Source organism: Homo sapiens, chromosome 11 (genome assembly GCF_000001405.40).
Source record: "Homo sapiens chromosome 11, GRCh38.p14 Primary Assembly".
NCBI classification, from domain to species: domain Eukaryota; kingdom Metazoa; phylum Chordata; class Mammalia; order Primates; family Hominidae; genus Homo; species Homo sapiens.
The window spans coordinates 70,231,444-70,252,742 of record NC_000011.10 but is presented as its reverse complement, the minus strand read 5'-3'; positions in this window follow the sequence as shown (position 1 = coordinate 70,252,742).

Here is a 21,299-nt window from a genome sequence, read left to right as displayed (position 1 = left end):
TCTACTAAAAATACAAAAATTAGCTGGGCTTGCTGGCGGGCACCTGTAATCCCACCTACTCGGGAGGCTGAGGTTGGGGAATCGCTTGAACGCCGGAGGCAGAGATTGCAGTGAGCGGAGATTGTGCCATTGTACTCCAGCCTGGGCGACACAGTGAAACTATGTCTCAAAAAAAAAAAAAAAAACAGAAAAAGTCACCACATATCAAGGAAACGTGTCCCATGAATGGGGCCTTAAGAGCCTGCTCTTTCATGCTGCATGAGTCCCCTGGCCCCCAGCCCGCCCTCCTCATCTCCCCTCAACCCAACGGCCTAGGACCCCACTGATGCCTCAGGGCCTGGAAGCCTCTCCCGCCACACCTTCTCCTGGTCCTGGGATGGCGAAATGACTGCTCACAATGTGGCCAGGATGGATGGAGGACATCATATTGTTCCTCTAGCCCAGTATTCTGAGAACCCGCTGGCTGTGATTCAGAATAAAGGAGAAATGAGGCCTGTTTCTTGGGCAGTGGAGGTGGGGATTTTTTTTTCTTTTTAATTTGGATTGAAGTTTTTAGCTGTGAGTAATGGTTGGCTTGTGCCAGAGAAGGCGGCACCTGTGCACAAGGATGGAGCCCAGAAGGCCTGAGCCTGGGGTTTAGGAGCCGCTGGGAGAGGCGGAGCTGCAGAAAGGAGCCACGGAGCTCCTGGGAGAGTGGGGCCCGCGTCGTCTCAAGCCAGCAGCCAACACCACCCCCGAGATGGCTCCAGCTGGGACACAAAAGGAACCCATGGTTGTGCCGGGAAGTGTTGCCACAGCAGATTTCCAAGAACTGATTCTCAAAGAGAAGCCAGGCAGGGCTCCCAGCCCTGGCTCTGGGAACGCACAGACTGGGGGCTCCTAAACCCCTGAGCGCCACAGCCTCCCCGGGGAAGCCGGACCCTGTTAGCTCGTTGCACTCGATGGCTCCAGGCTTTTCACATGGGCGGAATGGAATGAACACGTGTGGGAATCATGACGAGGATTCCCAAGCCGCTTCCCAACATGGTAAAGTTGTAGGGTAGAACATTCCCACTGCAGACAAAGGCGTTCCTCACCCAAGCCTGAGCACACAGATGGTTAGAAATAGCCCAGGGCCACGTGGTGGGGGGGGGGGGGGGGCGCCTGTAGTCCCAGGAGACCAGGCAGGAGAATCGCTTGAACCTGGGAGGTGGAGATTGCAGTGAGCCGAGATCATGCCACTGCACTCCAGCCCGGGCAGCAGAGGGAGATTCCATCTCAAAAAAAAAAAAAAGAAAGAAAGAAAAAAAAGAAAAAAGAAAGAAAAAAAGTAGCTCAGGGCCGAAGTAGAGTGGGAGAAGGGCCCAAGGGCAGGGGTGGCCTTGGGGTCAGGAGGCAGGACTTTCATCGTACTGCAAGCAGGGCCAGAGAGGCAGTCTATCCACGTGCCTCCATCTGTGTGTACTCCTGTCTCGGTCTCCAGCACGAAGCAGGTGCTTGGCCATCATTTTGGGGAAACTACTGCCCATGGGGGCCTCCTAGGTTCCCAGCCAAGGTGTCTGAGCAGCTGTTTGCTTTGTGCTCTCGGCTCTATAGGCCAAGCAGGCTAAATCCACTTGAACTACAGTAATTCCTTCCTCCTGTGCTGGCTGGACACCTCACTGTGACACAGCACACCCTGCGGTCTCCTTTGGACTAGGCAAAGAAGGGTCCAGATCACCGCACAGGACCTTGTTCATTTAGGTGACAATGATCTCTTGAGGGTCTACAAAGGAAGAACTGGGAAGGCAGTATCTGGGGAGAACGTGAGCCTTAAACACAAACGACACCCATGATTTCCTTCATTACTAGGTGAGACGTGCCCCACAGAACAAGGACAGGGTGCAAGGAGAGCTGACAACTGGGGCGAACCACACTGCAAGCACTGAGCTAGTCTGATGGGGGAGGGCGGTGGGCAAGTGGGCTCTGTGATGGCAGCGCAAGAGGGAAGACCCGGCCCCCACTCTCATTCTTAGCTGCATCCTGGCAAACTCAGGCCATAGTCCAGAGGCCCCTTTCCTCCATCCTACTGAGCAGCCAGTGGGGTTGGAGGGGGCATGAGATGTGGCCCCTGCCCCAAGACAGAGACAATAACACAAACATCTTCACACCACAGGGGGCCCTAAATTTTTGATCAAGCACTTTGACCACTAAGTAAATTTTGAGTGCCTTCCTGTAAGTAGTAGGTGAATAGTGGCCCTCAAAAAGATATGTTCATGTCCCAACCTTTGGTACCTGTGAATACAACCTTGTGTACAATAAGGGTCTTTGGCCGGGCACGGTGGCTCACACCTGTAATCCCAGCACTTTGAGAGGCCGAGGTGGGTGGATCACCTGAAGTCAGGAGTTTGAGACCAGCCTGATCAATATGGTGAAACCCTGTCTCTACTAAAAATACAAAAAAATTAGCCAGGCATGGTGGCATGCACCTGCAGTCTCAGCTACTAGGAAGGCTGAGACAGGAGAATTGCTTGAACCTGGGAGTTGGAGGTTGCAGTGAGCCGAGATTGCACCACCGCACTCCAGCTTGGGTGACAGAGCGAGACTCCGTTTCAAAAACAAACAAACAAACAAACAAAAATAAGGGTCTTTACAAAGGTAATTGACTTAGAGATCTCAAGATGAAAGCATCCTGGATTTAGGGTGACCCTAAATACAATGACTGTGTCCTTATCAGAAGAAGAAAGGACGCAGAGGCCAGGTGCAGTGGCTCACACCTGTAATCCCAGCACCTTGGGAGGCTGAGGCGGGTGGATCACCTGAGATCAGGAGTTTGAGACAAGCCTGACCAATATGGTGAAACCCCATCTCTACCAAAAATACAAAAATTAGCTGGGCATAATGACATGTGCCTGTAATCCCAGTTACTCGAGAGGCTGAGACAGGAGAATTGGTTGAACCGAGGAGATGGAGGTTGCAGTGAGCCGAGATCATGACACTACACTCCAGCCTGGGCAACAGAGTGAGACTCCATCTCAAAAAGGAAAAAAAAAGAAGGAGAAGAAGAGACACAGACACAGAGACACACAGGGACGAGGCCATGAGAGACAGAAGCAGAGACTGTAGGGGTGCGGCCATGCACCGGGGCACACTGAGGGGTGCCAGCAGCCCCTAGAAGCTGGGAGAAGCCTGGAAAAGATATGCCCTCAGAGCCTCCGGAAGGAACCCACCCTGCGGACACCTTGACTTCAGACTTCCAGCCTCCAGAACTGGGAGGATAAATCTCTGTTGTTTAAGCTACTCAGTCTGTGGTCATTTATTACGGCAGCCCCAGGGAATGAACACACTGTTTGTTTATTTGTTTGTTTGTTTGTTTTTTAGACAATGTCTTGCTCTGTTGCCCAGGTTGGGTGCGGTGGCACAATCATGGCTCACTGCAGCCTCGACTTTCCAGGCTCCAGCGATCCTCCCACCTCAGCCTTCCAAGTAGCTGAGACTACAGGCGTGCACCACCATGCCTGGCTTGTTTTTGCATTTTTTTGTAGAGACGATGTCTCACCATGTTGCCCAGGCTGGTCTTGAACTCCTGAGCTCAAGCAATCCTCCCACCTTAGCCTCCCATAGTGCTGGGATTACAGGCGTGAACCACCGTGCCTGGCCAGGAAATGAACACACTCTCATACAAATTTATGCATTTCTACATTGAGTAGTCCATGGTAATATCCTATGTACACTATGAAACCACAAAGCAGTTGGCAGAAAGCAAGAGGTGCATGGGGCAAGGGGAAGATACAAGTAAACTTCAGAGTTGTCCTGGGTACCTAGGGGCCGAATGGTGGTGACGCAGCCATCAGGAGCAACAGGAGGATGGTTGGTCCCAGCATGTTTTATTTCTTAAGTGGACGGTGGTGCGTGGGTGTCCACGTTATGTGATCATTATTTTCATCTTGCAAAACACCACCTCTGTTGTTGGCAAATGAATGAAATCGTTCATAATAAAAGGTTTTTAAAAAGGGCACAAGATTTGAGTCCAGGCATTGAGCTCACTGTCTGCCTGTGCTGGCCTATGGCTGAGGCAGGTCTCCAAAGTTCTCCAAGCCTCAGTTTCCTCAATGAGCAAGCAGGGCCCGTGATGGTGCCTCCTTTCAGCACTGGAGAAATCAGTACCCAGGCAGGTGGGCACATGTGATCAGTCCGTGAGCATCCAAGCACGTAGCTGGTCTCTATAGCAGCTCAGTTCCTTTCCATTAAGAGAGAAGAATGGCTCTTTTGGCCATATAACCTGATACCTTCTTATGACATGGCTTATACCTTTGTGTAAATAACTTAAACCCAGAAGGGGCTGGAATCCTCATAATGCTGCTGTCTCCATCCCTGTGGGTGGCTGAAAAACAGATTCTCTTAGCCCCTGGCCTGTTTCTTTGCCCCTGGCCTATTTCTCACTCTAATATGAACACCAGGAACTGATAGGTGAGAAGTGCTCTCACTGCTCCCAGACACTGGATGCTTTTCTTGCTGTGTTTTCTGTGAATATTTCCAAATAATTGGCCAGCGTCTGCAGGATGGCAGAGGCAGCTGTGAGGAGGCCCTCAGCCTTAGTTCATCAAGCCACCCCGGCATCAAGAACACCTCCCTACGGCACTGCTCCCCAACTTCCAACACACCTGGGGTAAAGTCTACAGTTCACTCCACTCTTACTGGCCTTCTCTGTGGCCCTCAGATCTGCCACACTGGTTCCTGCCCCAGGGCCCTTGTACTCATTTCTCTCCCTGCCCAGGACACTCTGAGCCAGCCCTTCACGAGGCTGACATCCTGCAGCCACTCAGCTCTTGGGCCATGAAGTCACCTCTTCCAGGAGGTCATCCTGCCAAGGAGCCCTGTCCTCTGGCTTGGCACTGTTTCTGCTCCCTGCACTGTTTGCTCACTGCTGGCCTCGGTCCCTCTTGGGGAGGGAAGCCAGGAGCCTCAGGCATGAGGAGATGAGCCTGGCTCTGGGAGGGGAAGGAGAGGAAAATGACCAGGCCACCTGCCGATTCAACCGTGGCAAACCTGTGCTGTTTTGTAATACCAGGTGCTGAGGACACAGGGTGGGCAACGAGACACAGGTTCTGCCCTGCAGGAAGCTAAATTCCATGGTGAAAAAAACAGAAGGCAGGGGGCACGGTGTTCTGGCAGCATGGGGGAAGTAGGGAGGTTTTCTTGGAAGCAGCGACTTTGAAGGTGAAACAGCAAGGATGAGTAAGAGCTTGTCATGTGAGCAGAGTGGGGAGAGGGCCCCTGGCAGAGGACAAGCAAGCATGAAAGCCGGCAGGCACACGGTGTCCACTGAGGCTGGGGTCTCATACAATTTGGCTCTGGGTCCCTACCAAAATCTCGTGTCAAATTGTAATCCCCATGGGTCAAGGGAGGGACCTGGTGGGAAGTGATTGGATCATGGGGTGGATTTCCCCCTTGCTGTTCTCATGATAGTGCATGAGTTCTCACGAGATCTGATGGTTTGCAAGTGTGTGGCACTTCCCCCTTTGCCCTCTCTCTCTCCTGCCACCTTGCAAAGATGTGCCTGCTTCCCCTTCACCTTCCACCATGACTGTAAGTTTCCTGAGGCCTCTCAGTCATGCTTCCTGTTAAGCCTGTGGAACTGTGAGTCATTTAAACCTCTTTCCTTCATAAATTACCCAGTCTCAGGTAGTTGTTTACAGCAGTGTGAGATCGGCCTAATACAGGGTCCCTTCCCTTCTTCTTCTTTTTTTTTTTTTCTTTTTTTTTTGAGATGGGGTCTTGCTCTATTGCCAGGCTGGAGTGCCATGGTGCAATCGCAGCTCACTGCAACCTCCGCCTCCTGGTTCAAGCAGTTCTCCTCCCTCAGCCTCCCTAGTAGCTGGGATTACAGACATGCACCACCACATCCAGCTCATTTTTGTATTTTTTGTAGAGATGAGGTTTCACCATTTTGGCCAGGCTGGTCTCAAACTCCTGACCTCAAGTGATCCACCCCCCTCAGCCTCCCAAAGTGCTAGGATTACAGGTGTGAGCCACTGCACCTGGCATGGGTCCCTTACCTTCTTCCCAAAGATCTGGGGTGGAGAAGCGCTCAGATTTACTCTACCTCAGGTGCAAGAAGTTTTGCAAGAGGGAGTAAGGACATCCCTTTGTCCCATCCCTTTCTCTTTGGTCCCATCCCTTTCTCTTTGGGAGCAGCCTGTGGTCTCCAGGACACCCAGAGAACAGCAGAGAAGAGCCCCCTGGCCGGGCTTGCACGGCAGCTGCCCCCTCAGCATGGACAGAAGGCTCCCCTCCTTCCCCAGCTTTCCCACGGGCCGCAGGCAGGTTCTTCCCCACCCCAGCTGTGTGAGCTCAGGCTCCGGGGGTGGTGTGGGGGAAGATGCAGACACTGGAGGCTCCCACCCACTGGCCAGGCAGGAACTTGCCTAGGGATAATAGGCTTTAGTCACTCATGAGAAAGATAACGACGACCTCTAATAACAACTGAAAAAATAAACCAGAAAACCTCACCACTATGGGGCAGCTGAGCCAGGAAGGGCCAGGCGTGGTCCCTCTGGGGCTTTCAGCTGAAAGAAACACACCTGAGACATGAAAGGTGAGGTGAGAAAGTGGTGGGCAGCTGCAAGTGACCTGTGGGGTCAAAGTCTCCAGTCTGCAGGGGCTCTGTGAGGAGAATGGTCACGCTTAGGTTGGAAGCCCCCTGCTCTGGGCCTGCACCTGCCCTTCTGATGACACACAGTGCTCAGGGCCAATGTCTGCTCTTTATCCCAGGAAGTAAAGAACAGCGCGTGTAGCCAGGCCCCAAGTGAGGTCAGACCCAGAAGAACTCCAGGGAGCTCCAGGAGCACATCCACAGGTTCACCTGAGATCTGCTGATGACCTTGGAGCCCATTCAATGGTCAGTGTGAAGCCATGCGCTCTGCAAGGCACTGCGCTCTCCGGAGCCAAATCACCGAGTCTGGATCCTGGCTCCCTCACTTCCTGTGCCACTTGACCTCTCTGTGCCTTGGTTTCCTCATCTGCTATGTTGAGTAACAATAGTACTCTTGTAGTATTTTAGTACTATAGTACTCTCCTACTACTAGAGGTTAGGGTTAGGGTTCAATGAGCAAATCCATGCATGTGAAGTCATGCAAAAAGGGTCAATAGTTGCAGCTGAAATTGGCACCTTCCTATCCTATAAGGAACCCTCTCTCAGCACAGGTGGTGGCCGCCCTGGGGCAGACGTGCTGGGGCTGTGAGTGCTGATGCTCACAGGAGGCCATGGGTCCCGCAGGGGTCTGGGAGAGTTACAGGGAACAAAATCTAATCTAGCCCCTAATCTGGAGGGGCTTACAGCCCGACGGAAGAACTGACAACAGCAAGATAAATATGTAAGAAGAGCCACTTATTCCACTTGCCTTCAGGCGGCCTATGAGGGCAGGGCACCGTGGCTCACATCTGTAATCCCAACACTTTGGGAGGCTGAGGCGGGTGGATCACTTGAGGCCAGGAGTTTGAGACCAGCCTGGCCAACATAATGAAACCCTGTCTCTAGTGAAAATACAAAAATTAGCCGGGTGTGGTGGTGCACCCCTGTAGTCCCAGCTACCCAGGAGGCTGGGGCATAAGAATTGCTTAAACCCAAAAGGCAGAGGTTGCAGTGAGCCAAGATGGCACCACTGCACTCCAGTCTGGGTGACAGAGCGAGATTCTGTCTCAAAAAACAAACAAATAAAAAAGAGGTCTATGAGGCCAGGGTCTGAAATGTAAAAACAAAATTCCATGCAGTCTGGGTTTTCCCCAAGCGGTCTCCTGACACTGCTCTTGCCAAAGTCTCCGGCCAGCTCATCGTGGAATCCAGAGGCTGCATGCGGCTCAGCCCTTCTCTACTTGACACCCCACAGCACTTGACCCTGTAGAGCCACGCCCTCCTCCCTTCCAGACTGTGACTAAGCCCCCTGGTTCTTTTCTAGGGCCCCTTCCCCTCCTTCCCTCTCCTCCTCCTCCATCTGCTCTCCCTGGCTAGTTGCAGCCATTCCTGCTGTCTCAGTCACCATTTAGATGCTGCTGACCGTATACTGAGTTGGATAATGTGCCCCCCAAATTTGGTGTCCACCAGGAACCTCAGAACGTGAGCTTATTTGGAAACAGGGTCTTTGCTGATGTAATTAGTTAAATTAAGATGAGGTCACAGTGCAGGAAGGTATGCCCTAAACCTAATGACTGGTGTCCTTATAAGAGGGCCATGTGAACTACAAGAGGAAAGGTGGCCATGTGCCAAAACGGAGGCAGAGATTGGAGCGCAGCGTCGCCAATGACTGCCGAAAACCACGAGGAGCTAGAAGAGACAAGGAAGGATTCTTCCCTTGAGCCCTTGGGAAAAGCAGGATTCTGCTGACACATTGATTTTGGACTTCCAGCCTCCAGAGCTAAGAGAAAGCACATTTCTGTTGCTTTAAGCCACCCCATCTCTGGTCATTTGTTTGGCAGCCCCAGGAAGCTAACACAGCCCTCACTGTATCTCGCTACCATCTCCTGAGCTTCCCACCTGACAGCCAGACAATTCCTCACACTCGGCCCTTCCAAAACCCACTCTCCCCTGAGATCTGTTCCCTCTCCAGAATTCCTCATGCCAAGGATTGCACCACTGGCTGCCCAAACCAGAACCCGGTCATCGCCCGGATCCTCCCTGCCCTCCACCCCTGAAACCCAGTGACTCATCAAGCCCTACACATTCCACCTCCAGAGTCTTTCTTGGAGACTAAAGAGACAACCAAATGCGACGCTGGCATCTTGATGGGACCCCGGCTCTCAAAACAAAAACCCAACCATGAAAGGCCATCCATCTGGACACAAACTGGGCAGCAGACGTCACTCCTGTTGTGTTTCCGAGGTGCGATACTGGTTCTGCGATTCAGGAGAAAAATGCCTTCATTCTCAGGAGATGCAGCTCAGGGTGAAGCATCACCATGTCTGAAACTGACTTTCAAATGGTACAGAAAAAGAAAATCCACCCACTTTGCTGTGTCTTGAGAGAGCAAAGCTGGAGATATCAATGATTGTTGACTCTAGGTAGAAGAAAATGTGTTTGTGGTACTGGTCTTTCAACTTTTCAGGAAGGTAAGAATTTTTCTGGTAGAAATTTGGGGGGAGGCCAGGCGCGGTGGCTCACACCTGTAATCCCAGCACTTTGGGAGGCCAAGGCGGGTGAATCACAAAGTCAGGAGTTCGAGACCAGCCTGGCCAACACAGTGAAACCCTGTCTCTACTAAAAATACAAAAATTAGCTGGGCGTGGTGGTGGCTGTAATCCCAGCTATTCGGGAGGCTGAGGCAGGAGAATTGCTTGAACCCAGGAGGCAGAGGTTGCAGTTAGCCATGATTGCACCACTGCACTCCAGCCTAGGTGACAGAGCAAGACTCCATCTCAAAAAAAAAAAAAAAAAAAAAAAGACTGGGGTAATCTTCTGACCTTCCTCATTCTCTGCTCCCACTTCCCTGCTCTGCTGCAGACCCCCAGCACCCCTCCTGCCTGGGGAATCTCTGCTCCAGCTTTGCCAGCTGGCTTCTACACACCGTCACTGCCAAACCCAATCCTGTCCACTCCAACCTGGTGACCACAGTGCAGTCAGAGTTCTCTCTCCAACGCCAGAACTTTCTCATGTCCCTCCCTTGCTGGAAGCCCTCTGAAGCCTGTTCCTGGGACAAGGATCACATTCCTTACATAATCTGTGAGGCCCTTGGTCACTTCTCCAGCCCCTTGCTGCTCTCAACATGAAACTCAACATTCCGGCTGTTCTTATCTTCTCTACACACCTTCTTACCTCCTGCCTTGCCCATGGAATGTCCTCTCCTCTGCCTTCATCTGCCGGGACCATCTTCAGGTCTCAACTTGATATCCCTTCTCTGCAAGTCCTTTGCCCCTGCCACCTGCTCTATGGAGCACATGTACTCTGCATATAATCTACAAAGCTTGTACGTTGTGTAGCAAATACTTTCCATGGTGGGTCATCTCTCCCTTACCCAGCAGAAACTTGTATGAGGGGAAAGATTGGAACTGTTTTATCATTCACTCCTACCCACCTGGCAGAAGACCTGGCACATGGCTGGTGTGTGCCATAGTTTCAATGTGTCCCCCAAAGTTCATGTGTTGGAAACTCCATCCCCAATGTGACAGTGTTGGGAGGTGGGCCTAATGGGAGGTAGTATTTGGGTCATGGGGGTACTGCCTTCCTGAATAAATTAATGCCATTACTGGGGACTGGGTTCCTTATAAAAGGACTAGTTTAGCTCCCTCTTGCCCCACTCCGTACCCTCTTTTGGGCCTTCTCCCATGGGATGACACAGCAAGAAAGCCTTTGCCAGATGTGGCCCCTTGACTTCTCAGCCTCCACAACTGTGAGCCAATACATTTCTGTTCATTATAAATTACCTTGTAATTATAAATTACAGTGGCTCACATCTATAATCCCAGCACTTTGGGAGGCCGAGGCGGGCGGATCACTTGAGGTCAGGAGTTCAAGAAAAGCCTGGCCAACATGGTGGAACCTTGTTTCTATTAAAAATGCAAAAATTAGCCGGGTGTGGGGGTGTGTGCCTATAATTCTGGCTACTCGGGAGACTGAGGCAGGAGAACCACTTGAACCCGGGAGGCAGAGGTTGCGGTTGGCTGAGATCATGCCACTGCAGTCCAGCCTGGGCAACAGAGCGAGACTCTGTTTCAAAAAATATATCAATAAATAAAAATAAAAATAAATAAAGTAATTAATTAATTACCCAGTCTATGCTATTCTGTTATAGCAGCATAAAATGGGCTAAGGTGGTTTGCAATAAGTAATCAATGAGTGGGTGAAAGTATGAGTGATGGCTGGGTGGGTAAGTGGATGGATGGAGGACAGGTGGGTGGATGGGTAGGTGAGTAAATGACATAGTACAAACAAAGGCGCCATCACACTCCAGTGGGGGTGAGGCCAGGTTTAACTGCAGGAGGCTCCTTAGAGGCTTGGAGAAGGCAGCATTTTGACGATGGCTGCAATTTAGTGAGCACTTCTTTGCTGGGCCCCAGACCCTGCACTGGACTGGGTTGCCTCCCTTCATCCTCGTAGAAACCACCGGAGTAAGATATTAATATTTTCCCTCTTCCTAAGTCTCATTACCTTGATAATTTTCATTTTAATAAAATTTAAAAATAAATTTTACCTGCACGTGGTACAGCATTTTAAAAGTACACAAGGATAAGCAGTAAAAAAAAAATCACCTTTCTTCACTGCTAAATCCTCAGACTGTTGTAGACACAGTAGGAGCTCAATAAAAATGAGTTGAATCCAGTGGCATTTTATGTGCAGACACAGAAGCTCAGAGAGATAGGCCAGGCGCGGTGGCTCACACCTGTAATCCCAGCACTTTGGGAGGCTGAGGCGGGTGGATCACCTGAGGTCAGGAGTTCGAGACCACCCTGGCCAACATGTCGAAACCCCGTCTCTACTAAAAAGACAAAAATTAGCCAGTGTGTTGGCAGGCACCTGTAATCCAGCTACTCGGGAGGCTGAGGCACAAGAACCGCTTGAACCTGGGAGGCGGAGGCTGCATTGAGCCGAGATCACACCTCTACACTCCAGCCTGGTGACAGAATGAGATTCCGTCCCCCCCCAAAAAAAAAGAAGAAGAAGAAGAAGAAGCTCAGAGAGATTCAGGAGGTTGCCCGATGCTTCACAGGTTGATAAGTTGGCAAAGTCAGGGATTGGAATCAGGTTCACTGGACTCAAACCTGACCTGTCAGCCTAACAGGTGAAATGGGTGAAGAGGGCAGGCCTGGGGGGTGGTGGGGGGGATCATAGGCAGAGGCTCAGAGGCAGGAAAGTCATGGCATGGGAGGAATTTGGCCAGAGTGGAGGGTTTGTGGCAGGAAATGGGGGTGAAGCTGAAGCTGGCATTGCAGCCTTGAATGCCAGGCTAAGGAGTGGGCAACTAGCAGCTGTGAAAGGCAGGGCTAAAAGCAGCAGCAAGGCAAGAGCTCGGAAGGCAGGAGACCTGGGCGAGTCTCCGGGAAGCTGACACCCCAGAGTGGGACGGAGACCAGACATCGCAGGGAAATGAGCCCGACACGATCTCGAAGGCTTAGTTGAGATTCTGACCTTGTTCTACCCGCTCGTCCTCACCCGGTGTTCGTTAATCACCTCCTGCTCATGGAAGGAACATGACTTCCTGCCCACGCACAGAGCCAGGTGGGCTGTGGCAGTGTACGGCAGAGACCCGGCTGTGCCAGGACTGCGGTGACTGCCCTGTGTGCCACGGCCTCCTCCTCTGAGCACTGACTCACAGCATCCAGATGCGCTGCCTGCTTTCTGATTCGATTGCAGCTGCTGTGGGGAAGAGTGGGTCCCAGCCCCTCTATCCTTTGTCATAGAGGCAGGAGGGTGCAGTGGCTTGGAATTACAGGTCCTACCTCCCAGTTCTCATTTTGTCAACCAATAGCTTTGTGACCCAGAGAAAAGGTCCTTGGTGCCCTGCTACTCAATTTTTTTTTTTTTTTTTTGAGATGGAGTCTCACTCTGTCATCCAGGCTGGAGTGCGGTGGTGTGGTCTCGGCTCACTGCAACCTCTGCCTCCCAGGTTCAAGCGATTCTCCTGCCTCAGCTTCCCAAGTAGCTGGGATTACAGGCATCAGCCAATACACCTGGCTAATTTTTGTAGTTTTCCTAGAGACGGGGTTTCACCATGTTGGCCAGGCTGGTCTCGAACTCCTGACCTCAGGTGATCCGCCTGCCCCAACCTCCCAAAGTGCTGGGACTACAGGTGTGAGCCACCACACCCAGCCTCAATTTTTAGCCCTGTAAAATGGGATGATGTCTTCTCTACCCAGGATGCTGGGAGCAGTAAGACACTGCGTGCACACCTAGAAGGCGTGTAGGAAATGTCAGTCCCGACGTCTTCATCTGTCTCTGAACTTTACTTTCCACGTCTTTGAAATGAGAGTGGTCACTGATGATAGTGGGGAAATTGTGGGTGGGTTCTCAGCCAAGCCAAAGCCAAGGTTGGTTGTAGGGCTGGTGGGCCGCCCATGGAACCTTTTTGCACATGCTATTTGCCGGCAAGGAAGACTCTTTATAGGGATGTCAGGGGCCTAAGACTTGGGGAAGGTAATGAGGAACAAAGTGCTCTGGGCTCCTTAGGAAAAAACTTCATTTGGGAGAGTGGTTTTCAGTGTAGTCTGGGGGTCACACTGCATGACAGTTAAAGAACGTTTTGGAAATGTGGAATGGGGGCTTGCTTATCATGGTGGGTTCTACTAGACATCTACTGGCAGAAGGGAGGGCAGCATTCTGGATCATTCTAGACATTTCATTTCAGGAGAGCGAAGAGGGTCCAGACGTGCTGGCTCACATCTGTAATCCCTAGCACTTTGGGAGGCTGAGGCAGGAGGATCACTTGAGGCCAGGAGTTTGAGACTTGCCTGGACAACATAGTGAGATGCCCATCTCTACAAAAAATACAAAAATTAGGTGGGCTTGGTGGCACACACCTGTAGTCCCAGCTACTCGGGAGGCTGAGGTGGGAGGATCACCTGAGCCTGGTAGGTCAAGGCTGCAGTGAGCCAAGACTGTGCCACTGAACACCTCCAACCTGCAAGACAGAGTAAGACCCTGTCTCCAAAAAAAAAAGAGAGAGAGAGTAAAGAGAACTGTACAAGATGTGGGTTATAAAAAGGGGCATCAGAATTCTGACACATTCTACTCCATGGATGAACCTTGAGAATATCATGCTCAGTGAAATAAGCCAGACACAAAGAGACAAATACAACTCCATGTCCACAGAGGGTTGATTCCAGGACCTCCTGTGGATACCAAAATCCTCAGATGCTCAAGTCACTTATATAAAATGGAGTAGTGTTTGCATATAACCTACATATATCCCCCTGTAGACTCTAAATCATCTCTAGGTGACTCATAACACCTAATAAAATGTCTACGCATCACTTCATTTGCATGGATTTAATGCAATGATAAATTCAAGTTTTGCTTTTTGGAACTTTGTAAAAAGTTTTTGTGCATTTTTTTTCTTTTTCTTTTCTTTTTTTTTTTTTTTTTTAGCTAGGGATGTGGTCTGTCACCCAGGCTGGAGTGCAGTGCTACGATCATGGCTCACTACAGTCTTGATCTCTCAGGCTCAAGCAATCCTCCAACCTCAGCCTCCCAAGTAGCTAGGACTATGGATGCACCTGCCTGTAATCCCAGCACTTTGGGAGACTGAGGCAGGTGGATTACTTGAGGTCAGGAGTTCAAGGCCAGCCTGGGCAACACGGTGAAGCCCCATCTCTACTAAAAATCAAAAATTAGCTGGGTGTGGTGGCCAGGTGCCTGTAATTCCAGCTATTCAGGAGGCTGAAGCAGGATAATTGCTTGAACCCAGAAGACAGAGGTTGCAGTGAGCCAAGATCGCACCACTGCACTCCAGCCTGGGAGACAGAGCAAGATTCCGTCTCAATAATAATAATAATAATTTTTTTTTTTTTTTTTGTAGAGATGGGGTCAAGTGACCCTCCCACCTCAGCCTCCGAAAATGCTGGGATTATAGGTGTATACCACCGCGGCTGGCCTGAGAATATTTGTAATCTGTGGGTGCTTGAATCCATGGATTTGGGACACATGGACATGGGAGTCTGACTGTAATGTAAGATTCAGCCTACACCAGGTGTCTAGCGTAGTCAGATTCACAGAGACAGAAAGAAGCTGCTGATTGTCGCGAGTTTCAGGGAGAGGGGAATGGGGAGTTAGTGTTTAATGCAGACAGAGTTTCCGTTTGGGAAGATGGAACAGAATTCTGGAGATGGATGGTGGTGATGGTTGTGCCACAGTGTGAATGTGTGAATGTTCCTTTTTTTTTTTCTTTTCTTTTCTTTTCTTTCTTTTTTTCTTTTTTTTTTTTTGAGAGGGAGTCTCACTCTATCGCCCAGACTGGAGTGCAGTGGCACCATCTTGGCTCAGTACAACCTCCACCCACTGGGTTCAAGTGATTCTCCTGCCTCAGCCTCCCGAGTAGCTGGGATTACAGACGCACTTCACCATGTCCGGCTAATTTTTGTGTTTTCAGTAGAAACGGGGTTTCACCATGTTAGCCAGGCTGGTCTTGAACTCCTAACCTCAGGTGATCTGCCCACCTCGGCCTCCCAAAGTGCTGGGATTACAGGCGTGAGCCACTGTGCCCAGCTGTGAATGTTCTTAAGGCCCTTGAACTATACACTTGAAAAGGTTAAGATGGTAATTTGTATGTTACATGTGTATGTTACATGTGTTTACCACCATTTTAAAGAAGGGGACCATCAGCTTCAGAACTGCTGATCCTGATTCACATGTCAGAGGCCACAAGAGACCACAGGACAAGTTTGCAGCTCTGGGTGACAGGACTATGGAGAAGCATCCGGTTAAATAAAGGCCCCTTCTGTCCAGATGGCTGAGACGGAGGGAGGAGACAGAGGCCTGGGGTCCAGCCTGCCTTCCCTTCTTCCCTCCAGTCAAGGAAAGTGACTTTTTTATGATTCTTATTTCCTGAGATGTGAAAGTAAACCAGGGGCCTGGGGGTGCAGGAGAAAGATTTCTTAGGTAGTAAGTCTTTTCCCAAATTATTTATTTATTATTTTATTTTATTTTATTTTATTTTATTTTATTTTTTAGAGACAGAGTAGTGCTCTGTCACCCAGCTGGAGTGCAGTGAGTGGCACAATCATAACTTACTGCAGCCTCCAACTTCTGGGCTCAGGTGATCCTCTCGCCTCAGCCTCTGAGTAACTGGGACCACAGGTGCACGCCACCACATTCTGCTCATGAAAAAAAAATTTTTTTTTTTTTTTTTTTTTTTTTTTGGTAGAGACAGGGGCAGGTCTCACTATGTTGCCCAGGCTGGTCTTGAACTCCCGGCCTCCAGTTTTTCTTCTGTCTCAGCTTCCCAGAGTGCTGGGATGGTGGATGTGAGCCACCATGCCTGACCTAGAAATTCTTAATTAAGTGCCACTACTTTGGAAGGGGGATGAAATCAAGTGGTCGGTCTCTGCCAGGATCTGGAATAGGCTGCTAGGGTTCCCAGGCCCCATGCTGATGATGGATCCCTCTCTCCTGGAGGAGGTGGGGGCGCGTGGCCCCACGGGCTCACTCGGCTTGATGGAGAGGCCTCTTCTGAATGCCCAGCTCCCATGTAACATCCTCTGCTGGTCCCAGGTGCCTCCCCCCATTCACCTGGCCTGGGCTCAGTGCCCCATTCACTGCCCTCTGCCTAATGGTTGGCCTAATGGTTGGCCACTCCAAGTGGACCAATGGATTCTTGGCTTGTCCAACTGTCTCCTGTGAGCTGATTCCTATGGGCCATAAACAGGGTGCGACTTGCACCGAGGAGGGATAGGAAGAGAAGGGACAGATGTGGACAGCCAACCTGCAATGACAGCTGTGGTCACCACAGAGATCCCTTATGGGCAGGTAAGATATTCCAGGCACCAGATGTGGTGGCTCAAGCCTGTAGTCCCAGCTATCTGGGAGGCTGAGGAAGGAGGATTGCTTGACCCCAGGAGATCGAGGCTGCAGTGAGCCAGGATTGCGCCACTGCACTCCAGGCTGGGTGACAGAGTAAGACTCCATCTCTTAAAAAAAAAAAAAAGATATTCCAGTTGCTTTACATCCGTAACCCTCCCAGTGGACGTGAGAGCTATCATCTGTGGCAGACTGTATCTCCCAAAAGGTTATTGCAGCAGTGTCTCCTGTCCCATATACTCTTCCACTTTTCCACCTTTCCAATTTTCCACCTTTCCACTGCCCCATCAAAGTCTAGAGTTTACAGCCTGGACAACATAGTGAAACCCTGTCTCTACCAAAAAATACAAAAATTAGCCAGATGTGGGGAGGTGGAGGTTGCAACAAGCCGAGATGGCAGCACTGCAGTCCAGCCTGGACAACAGAGCGAGACCCTGTCTCAAAAACAAAAACAAAAAGTCTGGAGTCTAATTCTCCTGATTTTGAACCTGGGTGAGTTTGTGACTCACAGGCCACCAAGTGGGCAATTTAGCTGTCCTCAGGCTGTCATGTTGGGAGGAAGCCCATACCGGAGCGTCAGGCAGAACCACCCAGTGGGGCCCTTCCTGAATTCCTGACCCACAGAAGCCCTGAGACACAAGAGACTTACTGGGGTTTTAAGCCACTCAGTTTTGGGGTGATTTGTCATGCAGAAACAGATCATTGGAACATCAGTCCATTTCTCAGGTGAGGAAAATGAGGCTCAGAGTGTACCTTTGGAGTACATTTGTCCAAGATCACCTGGCAAATACATAGGAGAGTCTAGACCTAACCCCAGTCTGTGACTTCAAGGTCTGGGCTCCACTTTGCACCTGAACTTATGCACGAATGCATGTCAGTGACTTTGTCTATACCAGTAAGAAAGCCCCTTGAAGTCGTTTCATATGAAAGCAGTCGGGACACAGCCAGGCTTGGATGGGAAGGCCAGGCCTTGTATGCTGACTATTCTGCTATTCTGGGAGCTGGGCCTCCTTAGCGTCTCAGCCTTAGTCCCTTCACCCAGCCTGTATCTCACAGGGATTCCTTTATTAGTATTGTTTCCTAAGTACCTGGTGTGCCCAGGCTGCTGGTGGGTACATAAAAGTCAAAGGCAGCCGGGCACAGTAGCTCATGCCTGTAATCCCAGCACTTTGGGAGGCTGAGGTGGGCGGATCGCCTGAGGTCAGGAGTTTGAGACCAGCCTGGCCAACATGGTGAAACCCCGTTTCTACTAAAAATACAAAAATTAGCTGGGCGTGGTGGCTCATGCCTGTAATTCCAGCACTTTGGGAGGCCGAGGTGAGTGGATCACCAGAGGTCAGGAGTTCGAGACCAGCCTGGTCAACATGGTGAAATCCCATCTCTACTAAAAACACAAAAATTAGCCGGGCATGGTGGCGGGCACCTGTAATCCCAGTTACTCAGGAGGCTGAGGCAGGAGAATCTCTTGAACCTGGGAGGCAGAGGTTGCAGTGAGCTGAGATTGCGCCACTACACTCCAGCCTGGGAGGCAGAGCAAGACTGTCTCAAAAAAACAAAAACAAACAAAAACCCATCAAAATTAGCTGGGTGTGGTGGCAGGCACTTGTAATCCCTGCTACTTGGGAGGCTGAGGCAGAAGAATCGCTTGAACCCAGGAGGTGAAAGCTGCAGTGAGCTGAGATCGCGCCACTGCACTCCAGCCTGGGCGACAGAGCAGGACCCCACTGCAAAAAAAAAAAAAAAAAAAAAAAAAAAAAGTCAAAGGTGAGTAGGATATGGGCTTCCCTGACATCCCAGGTCCCCAGGCTATAAGGAAGAAGGGCCAGTAAAAAAGTAAGTCGACCACCATCCAACCCATACCCCCATGGGGCATGCTTAATACAGAGGGTGAAGCTGAAGCTCTATCTGCAGCAGGTTCTAGAAGGTCACTCCATCCCCCCCATGAAAGCAGATCCCTTAGCCTCCTAGCCTGACAGACAACAGCAGCACCTGAGATGTCCCAGGGGGTTAATGTGTTCTAAGCACTTAGCATATCGACTGGTCTAACCCTCACCAACACCCTTGAGGAAGGTGCCATTCCTATCCCCATTTTACAGATAGGAAGGACTGAGGCGGAGAAGCTAAATAACTTGCCCAGATCGCCCAGTCAGCAGGAGGCAGGCTCCTGGCGGCTAACTCCATAGCCAACACTCACCCCCGAACAGGGAGTGCCTGGTAAATGTCGACTGAACGGTGATCCGCTGGGGCATCTACGCAGAGATGGGCAATGAGTAGGAGTGTAGCAGGAGAGAGAAGCAGGCATTGGAATTCCTGAGGGTGGGAAGCATTTCTGAAGGCACAGAGAGGCACTAAACATCATCTGCTGGTTGACTCTAGCTGGGACACTCATGATGGCTGACCGTGCCAGGCCCTGGGGAGAGGGAGTAGGGAGGTGGCTCCAGCCTGGACGTGGAGGCACTCCCCAAGGCTGGAGCTTCGCAGGAGGACACTAACCTCCCTGGGATGCCGAGGACTCACACTTCATCCTGGGGCGGTGCGTTCAGCCTGCAGGTGTAGACAGTCAATGACTCCAGTTAATGGTGAGGTGAGGAACTTGGCACTGAACAGTGTTGAGTCACACGGTGAGAACGTCTTTCCCTTTTCAACAATCGGTCAGTCCCTCTGAACAAAGTGAGATTTCATCTCGGGCTAGTGATGACTAATGTCTTCTTAAACAAAGTGAGTAGCCCTCAGTTTCAGAGCCTGGAAGGCAGTGGAGTGTATGACGAGTTTCAGAATGTCACTTTTTTATTGCATTCCTTTTCATAGCCACCTCCTGATTATTCCAAGTGATACTGTGTTTCAATCAAGGTTAGCTTTGTGTAAGTGTCTGAAGTCTCCAAATCACAGTGACTTCAATGAGGGTTTATTTTTCTCATACAAAGGCAACCCTGATGTAAGCTTTCTAGGGCTAGCAGGGAGGCTCTGTAATCTTTAAGAACCCAGGATCCTTCTATCCTGCTGCATTGCTTCCTCATGACCCAATATAGCTGCCTGTGCTCCAGCTATCATGCTTGCATTCCAGGCAGAAGGAAGGAATAAAGGGATGCTGAAGGGCACAATCCTCTCCCTCCTTTAAGGCTGTTTTTAGGAAGTTCCACACTCCATTTCTGCACATATGCAGAACTTAGTCAAAGGGCCACACCTGGCTGCAGGGGAGGTTGGGAAATGCAGCCTTGACTGTCTGCTTAGCTAAAAATTGGGGATCTTGTGTAAAGTGAGAAGGGATGAAAAGATACTGGGTGACACCAGCAATCTTTGCCATAGACTGTTTTCTTTTTGTAACAGAGACACAAAAAATTAAAAATTTTTAAATTTTAAATTTTTAAGAGAGTCGCTTTCAAGATACAGCTAAGTAGATAAAAGGACAAGGCTTTCAAGAAAAAGCTAAGTAGATAAAACGAGAGGGGGAGGTCAGGCGTGGTGGCTCACGCCTATAATCCCAGCACTTTGGGAGGCCGAGGGGGGCGTGGATCACCTGAGGTCAGGAGCTCGAGAGCAGCCTGACCAACATGGCAAAACCCCATCTCTACTAAAAATACAAAAATTAGCCGGGCATGGTGGTGGGTGCCTGTAATCCCAACTACTCGGGAGGCTGAGTCAGGAGAATCGCTGGAACCCGGGAGGCAGAGGTTGCAGTGAGCTGAGGTCACGCCATTGCACTCCAGCCTGAGTGACAGACTGAGACTCCGTCTCAAAACAAAAAACAAAAAAACGACAGAGGGTACATGGCTAAGGCAAAAATTGCCAAGCTGACCCTTGAGTCACTGAGCTTTGGGAAAGGAGCTGTGAACTACGAAAAAGCAAAAGAGGTGTCTCGCCCAAAGACCAGGGTGGGGTCAGGTTTTCTATTTAGGAGGAAATCTCTGGCCCCAGGTAGAAAGGGATCTGGGTCGCCAGGCACTGTGGCTAATGCCTGTAATCCCAGCACTTTGGGAGGCCAAGGCAGGTGGAGCTCAAGTGTGAGCTCAGGAGTTGGAGACCAACCTTGGCAACATGGCAAAACCCCATCTCTACCAAAAATACAAATATTAGTCGGGCCTGTAGCCCCAGCTACTTGGGAGGCTGAGATGGAAGGATTACTGGAGCCTGGAAAGTCAGGGATGCCATGAGCTGTGATTGCACCAGTGTACTCTAGCCTGGGCAACAGAGTGAGCCCCTATCTCAAAAAAAAAAAAAAAAAAAAGAGAGAGAGAGAGAGAAGGATCCAGATCAGGAAGAGACCAGAGATGGGAAGGCTGGGAGGAAGGAGTTTGTTCCAGAAGTGAGCCGGCCAGGGCCAGGGCAGGGGAGCAGGAGGCTGAGTGAGGTGGGAAGGGGCCACTTTCCTCTGAGAAGAAAGCAGCGACCAGGCCCTCCCAGCAAAACTCATCAGGGTCTTGGAAGTGGGAGCCAAGGCCACAGGCGGGGGTTGCAGGTCTGTCCAGGGGTTAAGAAGCGTGCGGAAGCTTTGAAGCAGGTGGGGCTGTAAGACGGCAGGAATGTTAAAGGCCAGGGTCCTCTGCCACACACAGAGGTGAGGCTGCATGAGCGAGTGCAGATAACGAACTAATGAGGCTGGTCATCTGCATGGGGCCCAGGACGTGCCTGGCACAGACAAGATCTCCCCTGCCTCCTTACCCCCTCACAGCACAATAAGCCCACTCCCATCTCCTAGAGGGAAAGTGCTGCCGAGCTCTCTAGGCCTGTCCACAGCACAGCAGATTCAAGCCGAGTCTGGCGGCCCCTGCTCCATCTGCCCTGATGCCACGGACAGCGCTTGGCACACAGAGGGAGGCGCACGTGCCTGCGGGTGGACGAA